At 40.2% G+C, this 16,918-nt stretch overlaps 1 protein-coding gene across 8 annotated transcripts in view, besides 1 other annotated feature; it reads left to right on the forward strand.

Moving 5' to 3' along the window:
- Positions 1–16,918, forward strand: part of UBN2 (ubinuclein 2) — a 99,192-nt gene that overhangs the window by 48,889 nt on the left and 33,385 nt on the right. For 5 of the 8 annotated variants that reach the window (NM_173569.4, XM_006715916.5, XM_005250249.5 and 2 more), the window contains 4 exons: positions 1,880–1,930; positions 2,899–4,449; positions 13,107–13,338; positions 13,764–13,856. In NM_173569.4, coding sequence (NP_775840.3) covers positions 1,880–1,930; positions 2,899–4,449; positions 13,107–13,338; positions 13,764–13,856 — 1,927 coding nt within the window. The remainder of the gene's footprint in view (positions 1–1,879; positions 1,931–2,898; positions 4,450–13,106; positions 13,339–13,763; positions 13,857–16,918) is intronic. The other 3 variants (XM_011516002.4, XM_047420101.1, XM_011516003.3) reach the window with 2 other exon arrangements.
- Positions 14,449–14,617: a silencer, noted in NCBI's record as "fragment chr7:138979320-138979488 (GRCh37/hg19 assembly coordinates)". NCBI's record gives its function as "represses an EF-1alpha promoter that drives an FKBP-Casp9 reporter gene in an ReSE screen in phorbol 12-myristate 13-acetate-treated (for megakaryocytic differentiation) K562 erythroleukemia cells {active_cell/tissue: K562(+PMA)}" and the evidence as "EXISTENCE:reporter gene assay evidence [ECO:0000049][PMID:32094911]".

Genomic DNA, 16,918 nt, shown 5'->3' on the forward strand with positions numbered 1-16,918 from the left:
GCCTCAAAGGCATTCCTCCTATAAACCATGGCAGACCTGAGCTTGCAGTCTGAAATACAGAATACATGAGAGAATAAGTTACTATGAGTGAGATTCAGTAGGAACAATAAACAGCAGTTAGATCCCTAAGACGGACAAGTAGTGCACTTATGGAATTTAGTACATAAAATAATTTGACTGAAAAATTTTTAATATTTAGAGAAATAGAAAAGGGAATAAAAAATATCCTATCAAAATAGACAAAGTAGATTTGAAAGAGAATCAAAATATAACCTCTAGAAGTAAAAACTATAATCATTTGAAATTAAAATTTTAATGAAAGCTCATACTCTTTAGGTTTTACACTTTGCTCCATAGCCTTTGTCTCTTTGGTTTTTGTTGTTGTTGTTGTTTTTAATAGATGAGGTTCTTTGCTTATAAGATTGTGGCCAGATGGTCATTATATATTATTCTGTGGCCTTCCTGACTTTTTTGGTGTTAGAGCCTCTTTAAATGCAGGGTAAATAGTCTTCTTTTTCTTTTTCTTGTTTTTCTTTTGGAGACAGAGTCTCACTCTATCACCCAGGCTGGAGTGCAGTGGTGCGATCTCGGCTCACTGCAACCTCTGCCTCACAGGTTCAAGCGATTCTCCTGCCTCAGCCTCCTGAGTAGCTGGGACTACAGGCGCACACCACCATGCCTGGCTAATTTTTATATTTTTAGCAGAGACGGGGTTTCACCATGTTGGTCAGGCTGCTCTCTAACTCCTGACCTCGTGATCCACCCGCCTTGGCCTCCCAAAGTGTTGGGATTACAGGCATGCGCCACTATGCCCAGCCAGTAGTCCTCTTTTTCTTAATAGCCTACTTTGTCTTCTGATCCAAATAATATTGAGCCAATCTTTCATTAAATCTGTTGAATTTAGATGTTGTTTTGACACTTGACTTTATTTTTATTAGAATACTAAAGTCTTAGTACCCTCCATAAAGGATTGGTTACATTTTGATACATCTATTCAAACATATGATTAATAGAATAATAGGATAGGAAATTTATTAAATTCTGATACTGGTTGTGTTAGGATGATATGGGGGAGTCATCAGTTTTTTTGTATGTTTCCTTCTCTATGATTAAATTACTTTTTCATTTTCCCAAAATGGAAAAGCTATACTGTTAATGTGGTTTTTTTCTACTGTAACTCCCCATAGTGTTTCTAGTTATAAAGATAAGATAAGGAAATGCCTACAAAAGAAAATGCAAATAACCCGGAAAAGTAAGGAGGAAAGTAAAAGTATCTATAAATTTCTCCTCAGTCAGAGAATAAAAGCTCTTAGCTTTCTAGGACACATCTTCCTTCCCTTCTTCTGAAACTCTGTTCCTCCCTCCCTCCCTTCCATTCGTCCGTCCATCCATACATCCATCCATCTATCCAATCAGCTATCTATTTATTTAGTCTTTTATATAAATGGGATAACCTGCTTTTTTGACTCAGTTATATATCCTGAACAATTTTCTCTGCCAGTATAAATCTGCACAGTATTCTATTAGAGTGGATTTAATGGTTTTATAAATAAAAATTAATCAAAAAGTTATTTTAAAACAGCAGTTTTATACTAGTAATACTTCCAATATTGGGATACATTTCCTACCCTTTATTGTGTACTTTTTATAATGGAATTTTCACTAATCATGTAAGTGGATGGCATATCAAAACAAATGTGTTTCATCTGCATTACTCATTCTTCTTAGCAGACATTTGTGACCTTAATGCAGTTACACTTGTACTTCCAATTGGTAGTGAGGTTTTTAATCAGGGGTTTTAGAGTAAAAGCTTAGAAAAAATACTAAGGAAGTTAGAGTGTAACAGTATTCTTAACAGCTTGCTTATGTAATACCTTAGGAGGTGATGGTAAAGACCCTTCCTCTCCATTCTTTCCCCACTATGCTTAAGGTAAGTGCTATGGTTGTATCAATCAGTATGTAATATAACACTCTAGGTTTGTTTGGGTTTGTTTAAGAAACTAATTGAAGAGACTTTGATACGACTTTTATGTAATAGGCTTTTGCTTCTCAGTCTTAAAAATAAAATGAGTCAAATACTTTTATCTTTAAAAATAAATAGTTGCTTTTAAATTATTTTGCTCTTTGAATATTATAAACTGTGCTCTAGTTCTTTTTCTTAAATATTAAGAAGGTTGATTATTTGAGAAACAGACTCTAACAACTCTTAGGTATTCAGAGTTGTAATTCTTAATACCCTTGTTTTCTTAGCATAGAGCCCTGCTCACAGCGGACACTTAGTGGATATATATTGAATAAATGACAAATGAGTAATTTACAAATAAATTACAGATTCACCATAATAAATAGCATAATTTATTTATGCTTGGATTGAATCGTCTGCCACTTTGACGTACCAGTTTTTCTATGTACTGGCTGTAGGGTAGCTGCAGGACAGGGCATACAAAGAGGCAGAAATGCATGGAAGCAGAAAGTGAAGGTCAGCCTCCTAGCAAACCATCCCAGACGAGAAGGGGAGAGTCTTAATATAAAGGCAGAATTTATTCTGAGTGCAGGGGAATAAAAAGAGAATAATCTGAACAGATGGATTTGGAGCAGGATTTGAAGATCTAATGCAGGTGGGGGAGGCTCATCAGTAATGTAACTAGTATATGAATGTTCCTTCCACTTGGTGTTAAGTATGACAGCTATGTGCAATATATCAGATACTTTGTCTTGTGAGGACAGCTCAGTCAGGAGCTCTGTCATCTCAAAAATTATTTTTGTTTTGATAGTCTCTGAAGATTTCCAGTAGAAAAACAATTGTAATTGTCATGAGAATCTTTTAGTTATTTAAAATTAACTTTGTAATTTTTTATTCACCATTTCTATTTTTTTCCATATGATGCTTTACATTAGGAGTGTAGTCCAAAAAAGGACCAGAAAACTCCAACATCCCTGGTGGCTTCGGTTAGCGGTCCTCCAACGAGCTCCAGCACAGCTGCCATTGCTGCAGCTAGCTCTAGCTCTGCACCAGCCCAAGAAACCATCTGCCTCGACGACTCACTAGATGAAGACCTTTCTTTCCATTCACCTTCACTGGATCTTGTTTCTGAAGCTTTAGCGGTTATCAACAATGGGAACAAGGGCCCTCCAGTTGGCTCAAGGATAAGCATGCCAACCACAAAGCCTCGTCCAGGACTGAGAGAAGAAAAATTAGCAAGTATCATGAGTAAGCTGCCACTAGCTACTCCCAAAAAACTAGATTCTACTCAGACTACACATTCTTCAAGTCTTATTGCTGGTCACACAGGGCCAGTACCAAAGAAACCCCAGGATTTAGCTCATACTGGCATCTCTTCAGGCCTTATTGCTGGTTCTTCCATTCAGAACCCTAAAGTTTCTTTAGAACCTTTGCCAGCCAGGCTACTTCAACAAGGACTTCAGAGGTCAAGCCAGATTCACACTTCTTCCTCTTCACAGACCCATGTCTCCTCTTCTTCCCAAGCCCAAATTGCTGCCTCTTCTCATGCTCTGGGAACATCCGAGGCCCAAGATGCTTCTTCGTTAACACAAGTAACAAAGGTGCACCAGCATTCAGCTGTCCAGCAGAACTATGTGTCTCCATTACAGGCCACCATCAGTAAATCCCAGACCAACCCCGTCGTGAAGTTAAGTAATAATCCCCAACTCTCCTGTTCCTCCTCACTTATTAAGACTTCAGATAAGCCACTTATGTACCGCCTTCCCTTATCTACCCCCTCACCTGGAAATGGTTCTCAAGGGTCCCACCCCCTGGTTTCTAGGACAGTACCTAGCACCACTACCTCCAGTAACTATTTAGCCAAGGCTATGGTGTCACAGATCTCCACGCAGGGTTTCAAATCTCCCTTCTCGATGGCTGCCTCCCCAAAACTTGCCGCATCTCCCAAGCCTGCCACATCTCCTAAACCCCTGCCCTCGCCTAAGCCTTCTGCCTCACCCAAGCCCTCTCTGTCAGCTAAGCCTTCAGTATCAACTAAACTTATTTCTAAATCCAACCCAACTCCCAAGCCTACTGTATCCCCAAGTAGTTCCAGTCCAAATGCACTAGTTGCCCAGGGTAGCCACTCCAGCACTAACAGCCCAGTCCATAAACAGCCCAGTGGAATGAACATCAGCAGACAGTCTCCCACCTTGAATTTATTGCCCTCTAGTCGCACTTCAGGCCTTCCACCTACAAAAAATCTTCAGGCCCCCTCAAAGCTAACAAACTCATCATCCACTGGAACTGTTGGGAAGAACAGCTTGAGTGGAATTGCAATGAATGTACCTGCCAGCAGAGGTAGCAACCTTAACTCAAGCGGAGCTAATAGGACTAGTCTGTCTGGGGGAACAGGAAGTGGAACACAGGGTGCTACCAAACCATTGTCTACTCCACATAGACCATCCACTGCCTCAGGGTCTTCAGTGGTAACAGCCAGTGTGCAGGTATGTATGTTCTGTACGTCCATGTGATAAACTATAAGATTGTATAATGTCGTCTTTCTTGTGGGTAACTTTAATAAGCTTTTTATGATATGTGGATTGTTCTCAATTGGCTTATTACAGCCTGCAGCCATGGAATGTTCCTGATGCTGACATCACAGTGACAGGCACACTTGTAGTTGAGGTGTTTGTTGGGATATGGATTTTTTTTTTTTAAGTAACAAAGGTGCACCAGCATTCAGCTGTCTGACAGAACGATGTCTTCATTACAAGCAACCATCACTAAATCAACTTTAAAATTATTTGACAAAACAAAACTAAAATGGCTTATTTCAAACTTTCTCTCTTATCAAAGTCCAGAACAAAGTAGTAACTTAGGAATTTAACGAACATTCGCTTAGCTCTTCCCTTCCCTTTTTCTCCTGCCAATTTTCTTATTTTTCAATCAAATTTATACATTCATGTTATTTTTTAAATCATTTATCTTCTCGAAATTTTTATTTTGCTTAATTTTGTAGTTATATATAATTTTCTATGTCAAATTAGTGTCAGTCGCCCTTTTATACCACAGTTTTCCCGTTCGTGAATTTTTAGTTTAAACTTACCTCTCAATTAGCTGAGTGCCTCACTCAAGCAATCTTTTCAAGAAGGGTAGCCGGGCATGGTGGCTCGTGTCTGTAATACCAGCACTTTGGGAGGCCAAGGCAGGAGGATCACTTGAGGTCAGGAGTTGCACTCCAGCCTGGGTGACAGAGCGAAACTTCATCTCAAAAAAAAAGGGTAGCATAAATGCTATTTTACCTTAGCTCATGTACACCTGATAATTTCTTTCTGTGCTGTCACACTTGAGTAGGCGTAGCCTTCTTGGGGCACTAACTGTTCCACTCCCAATTTTGTAAATACTACTCCACTGACTCTTGCTTAGTATTTAGGATTATGGAGAAGTCTGAGGCCATTCTCAGACTCTTTCTCATTCTCTTTTTGTTCCGTTATCATTAATGTGTTTTCTCTGCCTAGTTGTCATTAATTGTATACCTAGAACATAGTAATAGCTTTCCATCTCAGAACTGGTTATTTATTTTAGATCAAGAATATTTTATTGTATTATGTGTCTGATTACTGTTTCTGATCCATTTATCGTAAGTTTTTTGAGAACTCTTTATTATATATATATTTTTTATTTTTCCCTAAGACAGAGTCTCGCTCTGTCGTCCACGCTGGAGGGCAGTGGCGCAATCTTGGCTCACTGCAACCTCCGCTTCTCGGGTTCAGGAGATTCTCCTGCCTTAGGCTCCCGAGTAGCTGGAATTACAGGCACCCGCCACCATGCCTGGCTAATTTTTGTATATTTATTTATTATTATTATTATTTTTTTGAGACGGAGTCTTCTCTGTTGCCAGGCTGGAGTGCAATGACATGATCTCGGCTCACTGCAACCTCCACCTCCCAGGTTCAAGCAGTTCTCCCTGCCTCAGCTTCCTGAATAGCTGGGATTACAGGCATGGGCCACAATGCCCAGCTAATTTTTGTGTTTTTAGTAGAGACAGTGTATTGCCATGTTGGCCAGGCTGATCTTGAACTCCTGACCCCAGTTGATCTGCCCACCTCGGCCTCCCAAAGTGCTGGGCTTACAGGCGTGAGCTACCACACCTGGCCTAATTTTTATATTTTTAGTAGAGATGGGGTTTTACCATGTTGACTGGGCTGGTCTCAAACTCCTAACCTCAAGTGATCTGCCCGCTTCCGCCTCCCAAAGTCCTGGGATTACAGGCATGAGTCACTGCGCCGGGCCTATATTTTATCTCTCTGTCTTCCATATCATCTTCTGTTATTGTTTTCATCTCTATGCCACTTCTTTGTATTCTGACACTTTCTCAGATTTGTCCTTTATGTTAATGATTTAGTTTCTTTAACTTTTTTCCCCTGAAAGTAATGTATGTTCATTGAAGGCAAATTTAGAAAAAAGAAAATAAAAATCACCTATTAATCCAATACTGTTTATGCTTTGTAGGTACTTTTTAAGACTTTTTTCAACAAAATGTGTTTTGTATAATATTTCGTTTTATAACCGGCAAAAAAAAAATACCATTTTATGATATGCAAGTTCTTAGGTTCTTAAATATTCTTTGAAAACATAACTTTTATTTATTTATGGAATTGTGTTGTCTAAGGAAGTGCTCTTTGTACTGTCTCCTATTTATGTGGAACAGGAACATGTAATGAGAAGAGTTTCCCCTTGCTGTATGTCAAGGTTTCCTGCTGTTCAATATAGTCTAAGGGTTGATATTCAATATACATTGTATATTCAAATCATCATTCTGCTACTAATGTAGGCATAGGAATGACTGGATGCCAGAATTCTAATGAAGAACAAATTCAGCTAACTGGTAATTCATTAATTGAAATCTAGGATTAACTGATGTTTTATGTATATACATTTACTTTCATCAGAAATAAAATAATAAAAACATTGATACTAGGGATTATATGTTAAAATGTATATGGAGATGGATGAATAAAGGCCTTCCCTTATGAAAAAAAAGGTATATGGAAGATTGGAGTTAGTCTGCATTACTGTTTATTAAATAGTTTACTCTTCTTAAAATTAATTCTTAATTTGATCAAAGGAATAAGTGAAAAGATAGCATAAATGGTAGTTCCCTGCCCCGTATCCTCCTCCTAGGGTTAACTACTTTTAACTCTCTCAGCATTTTCTTCTTTTTGTTTTTAAATAATAATAAATGGAAAAGTCTTGATTTTATCAATTTTATAAAAAATTGGGGAGTTATTTCTGGAATTAAAAATTCATTTTTATTTTCATTTGCTTCATTTTCTTTGAACTTAAGATTAAATCTTTCTTCATCCTTTGTCATCTCTACAGTCTGTCAGTTCTATTTTGTTCCCAGAGATCTTCCTGTATTTCATTATTGATTGCAAAAGAACCCCTATACTGTCTAACAAATAATTGGTTTGTCAGCATGAAGGCTACTTGGCAAAGTATGAGTTTCTGAAGACTAACTACTCCCTCCTGGTTTTCTTCCTCTCCCAAATGGCTTTATGATTTGGAGACTGAAGTGTTCCTGCCTTCATATCTGATCTTTTTTTTTTTTTTTTCTGTCTTACTGGTTTGACTGAAGAAAAGATTAATAATTGAATAAGGTCATTTCTACCCTTTGGCGAAAGTAAGGTTCTTTTTGTTTTAACATAGCGTCTCAATAAAGTCTTACCAGCTATCTTGTGGCCTCTAGAACCTGTCTATAGCTCTCCAACACTGAAAACAGAGTTCCTATCTATGCCTGTAAAGCATTCACCTTCTGTCTGAAAGGCATCTGTGGGTGTCTGCTCATTTGCAGAGTGAAAATGACAGGTCCTTTAACAAATGGCAAAAGTTAAACTCCTTCTGGGTTCAGGTTGTTAGCTCTGCTTGCTTTCTGTTTAATAACTTTCCACACAGGGGTTTCCTCCTCTTTCTTACCCTTCAACTTACTGATTTTCTGTGAATCCTGTCTTTGCCACTTTATAATTCCAAACATCATTCATTCATTAAGCAAATGTTTATTGAGTGTTTACTATGTGCCAGGCACTCTTCTAGGTGCTGGGGATATAGGGATGAACAGCATACTCACACATATAGTCTAGGTAGGAAGACAAGGAAAAATACAAGTTTTTTCAAAATGTGGTAAATGCTGTGAAAAAATTGTAGGATAATATGATAAAAGTGATTGCTGCTAACGTAAAAAAGGTTAAGAAGGTTTGAGGAGGTAATGTTTGATTTGAGAATTGAATGAGCAGAAGCCAGCCATGTGTAGAGAAGAGGGGGAAAATAGTTCAGGCCAGAGGGAACAGTTGTATGAAGACACTGAGATGGAAAAGAGCCTGAAGTGAAGGCCTGCATGGCTGGACCATGGGGAGAGAGTGGTAGGTGATGAGATCAGAGAGAGACCAGAACCATGTCATGGAGGACCTTGTGGACCACAGTAAGGACTTTGGATTTTATTCTCTGTGCAGTGGGAAGCTATTGGAGGTTCTTAAACAGGGGACTGATATGGTCTGATTTGCATTTCAAAAGTTTACTCTGGGCGTTGTGGGGAATAGGGGACCAGTGCACTCACCAAAGTAGAGTATGTGGTTTAAAAAAAAATTTAATTGCGGCCGGTCGTGGTGGCTCATGCCTGTAAACCCAGGACTTTGGGAGGCCGAGGTGAGCGGATCACGAGGTCAGGAGATTGAGGTCATCCTGGCCAACATGGTGAAACCCCATCTCTACTAAAAATACAAAAATTAGCTGGGTATGGTGGCACGTGCCTGTAATCTCAGCTACTTGAGAGGCTGAGGCAGGAGGATCACTTGAATCCTGGAGTTGGAGGTTGCAGTGAGCCGAGATTGCACCACTGCAGTCCAGCCTGGCAACAGAGGGAGACGCCATCTCAAAAAAAAAAAAAAAAAAAATTAATGCCCACTACGGGAAGAGCAAGGATTCCCTTCAATGTTTTTTCCCCTGGGAATAAAATGTAGAGGTCACGGAAAGTATTTTTGATTATGGGGCATAATCTGGAACTATTTACCTGCTTCATGCTGACTTCTTGTGCATGATCCCAGATGATACCAACATTGGAGTACCCCACTGCTGAAAGGTCTCCATCTTTTAGGATAGAGAGATTTGCAAATACCCATGTCACATTTAGATTATCTGATGCTTCCATTTATATTTATAAACAAATTAAAGTGGATATAGAAGTTACTTGAAAGTGTAAAATGTTAGACAGTTATGGCATAGTATCACTTTTTTGCTATACTTGAGTTATTTAATTTTGGAAATTGCCCTCCCTAATTTACATTTTGCTTTTTTTTTTTTTTTTGAGACAGGGTCTCACTCTGTTGCCCAGGCTGGAGTGCAGTGGTGCAATCTTGGCTCACTGCAGCTTCCGCCTCTAGGGTTCAAGCAGCTCTCCTGCCTCAGCCTCCAAGTACCTGGGATTACAGGCAGACGCCACCATGCCCAGCTAATTTTTGTATTTTTAGTAGAGACGGTGTTTCACCATGTTGGCCAGGCTGGTCTTGAACCCCTGGCCTCAGGTGATTCACCCAACTCAGCCTCCCAAAGTGCTGGGATAATAGGAGTGAACCATCGCACCTGGCCCTCATTTTGCATCTATTTTAATGCTTCAATTACACTCCTTCAGAAAAGCTTTAAAAGATTCCTTTTATTAACAGTATTTAATGTTCCTCACTAGGGAACTCCAACTGGGGCACACAGCCTTGGAGACTCTTTATCATCCCAAGACTGCAGTAGAATTATGATTAGAAGAAGCAACTCTGGTTAAATTTTTTTTTTTTTCCGAGACAGAGTCTTGCTCTGTTGCCCAGGCTAGAGTGCAGTGGCACAATCTCGGCTCACTGCAACCTCTGCCTCCCAGGTTCAAGCGGTTCTCCTGCCTCAGCCTCCTGAGTAGCTGGGATTACAGGCATGCGCCACCACACCTGGCTAATTTTTGTATTGTATTAATGGATTAATTATTGTAATTTTGTATTTTTAGTAGAGACCGGGGTTAGTAGAGACCACCATGTTGGTCAGGCTGGTTTCGAATTCCTGATCTCATGATCCGCCCACCTTGGCCTCCCAAAGTGCTGGGATTACAGGCATGAGCCACCGTGCCTTGCCAACTCTGGTTAATTTTTAAGTTGATGCAGGATCTTTTCTTTCCCAGTTGCATTAAGATACTATTATTTCTAACTTGGTAATTTTTTCCTAAATGTACCCATTTTATATATTGTGGTTGGCACAGTACAGGAAAAGACAGGCAAATAAGAAAAACTGTCAGGTTCAAACATGGAGTGGTGAAGATTTGTACTTAAGTGTAAGAGCAAATTTTGGTAAAAAAGAAAGAATGGGTTTGTTGACTATAATGTTATCATTTTATAATGCCTGAAAACTAAGGTTTCAGGCCTAAGGGACTGGAAAGAATGGAATTCCCTGATGAAAGCAGTTGACAGAAGATGGGGGAACCCATTGGAGAAGATGATTTCAGCTTTGGATATGTCAAGTTGGTGCTAGATATTCAAGTGGAATTATTCTCTTAACTCTCAGATATGCAGGATGGAAATTGAGATGAGAGGCCAGAACTATGGATATAAATTTCAGTTGTAAAATTTGTTATTTTTATTAACAAATAAAGGAGAACAGGGGAGGGAGGCAGTTAAAGAACCAGGAAGAAGGCTGCTTGCGGATATTCTTCATTTGTTTGTTGAGCAGTGGTGTAGCCTCTTAAGTGTATAAATATATGTAATGTTATGTGGCATGTGTGTGTGGAAAGATTGTCTGCATTTTTCTTATACATTAACTTAAGAAGTACCCCACCAGAAGCAAAAGGACAAAGATTTTTAAAATAATCAGTCCTTAATTAATAATGCTCATTGATACATGTAATAAAACTGGAAAGAGCTAACATTCATTAGTTATTTTTAAAATAGTCAACAAATTCCATTTTCCTGATCAAATTTAGATTTAGATGGACACGGTGGCTCACGCATGTAATCCCAGCACTTTGGGAGGCTGAGGCAGGCGGATCACTTGAGCACAGGAGTTTGAGACCATCCTGGCCAACATGGTGAAACCCCGTCTCTACTAAAAATACAAAAATTAGCTGGGCGTGGTGGTGCACACCTGTAGTCCCAGCTACTCAGGAGGCTGAGGCAGGAGAATTGCTTGAACCCAGGAGGTGGAGGTTGCAGTGAGCCAAGATCGCAGCACTACACTGCAGCCTGGGCAACAGAGTGAGACTCTGTCTCAAAAAAAAAAAAAAAAAAAAAACATGGAAAACAAAAAAAATACAAATTTAGAACTGTTAAAGTTTTGACCAGGAAAATTTGGATTTGGTAAAATAAGGCTACAAAAGAAATCTCAGAATGACAGAAACTATAATAGATAATATATGATAATGAGAAAATTTGTATCAACTCTGTTGATAAGTAAGTGCACATGGAAAAGAAAAATGTTGGCCAGGCATGGTGGCTTATGCCTATAATCTCAGTGCTTTGGAAGGCCTAGGTGTGAGGATCGCTGGAGCCCAGAAGTTGGAGGCTAGCCTGAGCAACACAGACCCCATCTCTACAAAAACATATTGAAAAGTTAGCTGGGTCTGGTGGCACACGCCTGTCTGTAGTCCCAGCTACTTGGGAGGCTGAGGTGGGAGGATCACTTGAGCCCAGGAGTTTGAGTCTGCCATGAGCTACAATTGTTCCACTGCTCTCTAGCCTGGGTAACAGAGTGAAACCCCGTCTCTAAAAAAAATAATAATAAATTTTTTTTAAATAAAAAAGTCAAAATGGAAAAAAATGATTTAATTGCCATGTAGAAAATTGTTCAAAGAATTAAACTAGCTATAGGAATGTATTTGCCAGGCATTCTGGCTCACACTATAATTCTAGCACTTTGGGAGGCCAACGCAGTGAGGAGATGGTTTGAGCCCAGAAGTTCGAGCCTAGCCTGGGCAACATGGTGAAACCCTATCTCTATAATAAATACAAAAAATGTTAGCCGGGTATAGTGGCATGTGCCTGTAGTCTTAGCTACTCGGGAGGCTGAGGTGAGAGGATCACTTGAGCCTCCAGGAGGTTGAGATGGCAGTTAGCTGTGATTGCACCACTGCACTCCAGCGTGGGCAACAGGAGACCCTGTCTCAAAAAAAAGGGGGCGGAGTTTGGGCAGGGGGAATATATTTAAGTAAGTTCTCTGTGAAAGCCCATCCATGTTGGCATATTTCTTATTTATTTTTTTAAAGTCCTCCCTGCAGTCCAAATATGTTAGCGTATCTCTGATTTCAGTGTTTTTATTCGTAAACATGGCATCAAAGCCCAGGTAGGGGAGTGTGAAAACACTGTCCAATTTGTCTTTTACCTCAAGGAGTGTAATTTCAGAAAAGTAATAAGGTGAAAACCCGCTTTCAGGAGTTAGAGACTAGAACTAAGGAAACTGAAGTCTGTCATTCTGTTTGATAATAAAAGGAAGACAAATTAGATAGTTGCTAGGAGTTGGGGAAGAGCTAGAATAACAGTGTGGTTATAAAAAAATAATAAGTTTCTGTATATGAGAAGGCAGAGGAAACATGGAAAAGGTGCAGTACTAGATATTTATACAGGAAAGTTCTACACGGTGAGAATTCATGGTGTAAGTCAAGTGGTTAGCTTTGGAGAAGGGCAGGTGAGGCTCATGGCGAGGAAGAACACCTTGGCCTCGTCTCTCTAAGCTGATGTGATGACAGTAAAGGATACCAAGAAGGACCCTGAAAGCAGCAGTCTGCAGCAGCCGCTGCAGGAAAGATGATGAGACAAATAGTAAAGTGAGTATTTTCAGAGACCGAGCTGAAATTGCATGGAATTACTTACTCATGGTTCAGGTGTTTGGGCTAGGAGGCAAAAGTGGAGGAGTGCGAGTGGAAGGTTGGGAATTAGTAGATTGAGAGAGTGCGTGGGTGTTCATGTAAGTGCCACTAAAATAACAGCGTCTAAGGAACCTACCGTGGTAATGAAGAGCCTGTCTCACAACGTTTCTGTCAGAGCAGATGTAAGGCACAGTCTTGCATCTGTGAGGATATTATAGAAAATAAATCAATTTGGGTTGCTTTATTTCTTATGTATTTTGACCCCTGGTTTCTGCACAGTCCACAGCAGGAGCATCATTATTGGCTAATGCCTCACCTCTGACTCTCATGACATCACCTTTGTCTGTAACAAATCAAAATGTGACTCCTTTTGGGATGCTGGGTGGCCTTGTTCCAGTGACCATGCCCTTCCAGTTTCCCTTGGAGATATTTGGCTTTGGAACGGACACAGCTGGAGTGACAACCACCTCGGGATCTACCTCAGCCGCTTTCCACCATAGCCTAACTCAGAGTAAGTGGGGCTCTTCTATTTGGTTGGGCTGTCTAGCTTGACAGAACAGGAAACCTCACAAATTTATTCTAATTAAGAGTAGTCCAGTTGGAGTTAATGAAGATTATAGTTTTTTTTTTTTTTTTTAAGAAATGCAGTTTATATATAGTAAGTCAAATTATTGGACACTGGGGTTTTATATACAGTTTTTAAGCTATCTATACCACATTTCCATCTTAATGAAATTTTTAAGAGGAAGTCAGTTGTGTTGGGTTATGTGCATACACATACATTAACATAAGTAAATTTTCAAAAACGTGCTCTAGTTTTAGAAGGCCTTCGAAGTCAGGTGCTGTGCCTGCATTACATAAATCAGTTTTCATTTTTGAACTAAAAGGGCTCAAATCTGGATTTAAAGATGACTGACAAGTCTGTTTTCCTCTCAGATTTACTAAAGGGTTTACAGCCAGGAGGAGCTCAGCATGCAGCAACGCTTTCCCACTCACCTCTGCCTGCACACTTACAGCAAGCATTTCACGGTGAGAACGCCACCTCCTTCATCTCTTTCTTATTTGTATAGGCTTATAGATATGGATTATACTTTTCTGAAAACAATGTGAATGGAATGACAAAGGTTGGAAAATGCAAATTTTCATAGACTGAATCCTCATTCCTCATTAGCAACAGATTCCTTTTAAGAGGAAGGAAATAGGTAGATGAGATCTGTAACATATAAAAAGAGCCTTTTTGAAGGTGTTTATTATGTGGAAATGACGACTAATCAGAGGATTCATAAGATAGTTAAAAGTTATGTACAGTAATGATAGTAGTTTACATTTATTGAAAGCTTACTAAATGCCCCAGTCTTGTGACAGCTTACGTGGATTAGCTAACTTAATCCTTACAGCAAGCCCCTGAATGATAGATGACGATCTCCATTTTACCAATCACGAAACTGAATCAGAGAGCTAAGCAACTTGCCCAAGATAATACACAACTTGCCCAGATAACAAATGCTTGATCTGAGATACAAACCCAGGAAGTCTGACTCCATGGCCTGTATTCTTAGTGATTAAATGTCTTGGCATTTTAGCGGAGATGAAATTAATATGATCCTGCCAGGCACAGTGGCTCACTCCTGTAATCCCAGCACTTTGGGAGGCCAGGGTGGGCAGGTCACCTGAGGTTGGGAGTTTGAGACCAGCCTGGCCAATATGGTGAAACCCCGTCTCTATTAAAAATACAAAAGTTAGCCAGGCCTGATGGCGCATGCCTGTAGTCCCAGCTACTTGGGAGGCTGGGGCAGAAGATTTGCTTGAACCCAGGAGGTGGAGGTTGCGGTGAGCCGAGATCACGCCACTGCACTCCAGCCTGTGCAACAGAGTAAGACTCCGTCTCAAAAAAAAAATTAATATGATCCAAGCTGTATGCATTATGTCCTTGTAGGCAGCCAGATCGCTCTGAAATCTGACATTAGGCAGTCAGATTAGGCAATGTGCATAACACACTGGGCTCCAGCTTCTCGTTTTCCCCAGCAGTCTACCTCCATAGACACTGATATTATTCTGAAGCCCATTTTCAGGATCTTTTGAGCAGAAATAACTGCTTAGCTGCCCTCTTAACTTTGGAAGTTGACTAGGCCTCACTTTTTTTTTTTTTTTTGGCCACTGCATTAAAAATGACCTTTGAACCAGTTTACCATTAACCACAGTGCAGAGATGGGAACTGAGGGGCAATCTTGAGGCAACAGATTGCCATTAATCCTCTGAAAGACCTAAGTGGTGAGCTGTCTCAGTCTTAACCTTGAGAATGAGTATAAAACCACAGTTGTGTAAAATGGGTAACACAGAGTCGTGGCACAAATGTCAGCAATCCCGATCTTCCTGAACTCTGACTAGTTTAAATATCTAAAGAGAATTTCCCTGTGACTAAAGCATGTCCCCCCCTGGGTGTAGACAGCTGCTTGGTATAATGAATCCAGCTGAGGGTAGTGTACTCATGGGCAGATTGGCATGAATGTGGCCACCTGCAAGGAATTAAACAAGCAGGATTCTTGTGGCTCAAAAAGACCCCAGTGTTCGCTCTTACACGAACTATCAAATTTATCTGTGCAGCACTGCTATTCCGAGGGGAGAAAGGAAATATGACTGTCAGTATTTTCCAAATAACTAAAGTTAAAAAGTTTAAAATTTTTCAACCAGGCATGGTAGCTCATGCCTGTAATCCCAGCATTTTGGGAGGCCAAGGCAGGCGGATGGCTTGAGTCCAGGAGTTCGAGACCAACCTGGTCAACATGGTGAAACACTATCTCTACAAAAAATACAGAAAATTTTCTGGACATGGTGCTGTGCACCTGTAGTCCCAGCTACCCAGGAGGCTGAGGTGGGAGGATCACCTACACCTGGGAGGTTGAGGCTGCAGTGAGCTCTGATTGTGCCACCGCACTCCAGTCTGGGTGACAGAGTGAGAGTCTGTCCCCCCCAAAAAAAAAAGTTTAAAATTTTTCCTTTAAGAAACATTTTAAAGTGTAAGTCACTGAACTTGAGGATCAGACTTGGATTTTTGAATTCCAGAACTGCCAGTTTGAGTAGGCTTGTTTGACCATCACTTTCTCTTGCTTGTAAACTGGAGACAACAAATGTTTTTTAATGACTTCATATGAGAATCTAATAAAAAATAATTGATTTAAAGCTTCTAGCTTGGCACCTGGTGCATAGTAAGAGCTCAGTTAATGTTGATTAATTTTATTTAGTCTAAAACAAAGGTCAGTAAAATTTTTCTATAAAGGGCCAAATAGTAAATATGTTAGGCTTTGCAGGTCATATGGTCTCTGTCACCACTACTCAACTGACCATTGTAGTGAAAAACAGCCATAAGGAGTATTTAAACACATGAGTATGACTGTAAATAAAACTTCATGTGCAAAAGCAGGCAGGGAATCAGATTTGGCCTATGGGCTGTAGTTTGCCAAACCCTGGTCAAATTTGTTCCTTTTCACCTGTGTATTTCTGCTATTCATGCCTCTTCCCTCAGAGTAAAAGGTTTCCTTCTCCTGTCCTTTGCTGTCAGGCATGGGTTGTCTTTGAGGCCTCATTTTTCTTGCTAAGGCCATGACCTGTTGGAGACTTTCTCCATATTCTGTTGGCTTTCCAAGTCATTGGGCCTTACCCTTGCCCTGGTATCCCCCTTTCCTCTCCTCCTGTCCAGTTTTTGTAGGTAATTTAGTTGAGGCTTAAATGAAGTAATCAACATTTTTTCTGCAAGCATTTAAACAGCAGTATGTAAAAATAGAAATTATTTTGAGCTGGTGTGGTGGCACACACCTGTAGTCCCACTACTTAGAAGGCTAAGGCAGGAGGGTCTCTTGAGCCCAGGAATTTGAGGCTATAGTGTGCTATGATCGCACCTGTGCATAGCCAGTGTACTCCAGCCTGGAAAACATAGCAAGACTCTCTCTTAAAAAAAGAAAGAGCCAGGCGTGGTGGCTCATGCCTGTAATCCCAGCACTTTGGGAGGTTGAGGCAGGGTGGATCATGAGGTCAGGAGTTTGAGACCACCCTGACCAACATGGTGAAACCCTGTCTCTACTAAAAATACAAAA

The sequence above is a fragment of the Homo sapiens genome, chromosome 7, assembly GCF_000001405.40.
Source record: "Homo sapiens chromosome 7, GRCh38.p14 Primary Assembly".
Lineage (NCBI taxonomy): Eukaryota > Metazoa > Chordata > Mammalia > Primates > Hominidae > Homo > Homo sapiens.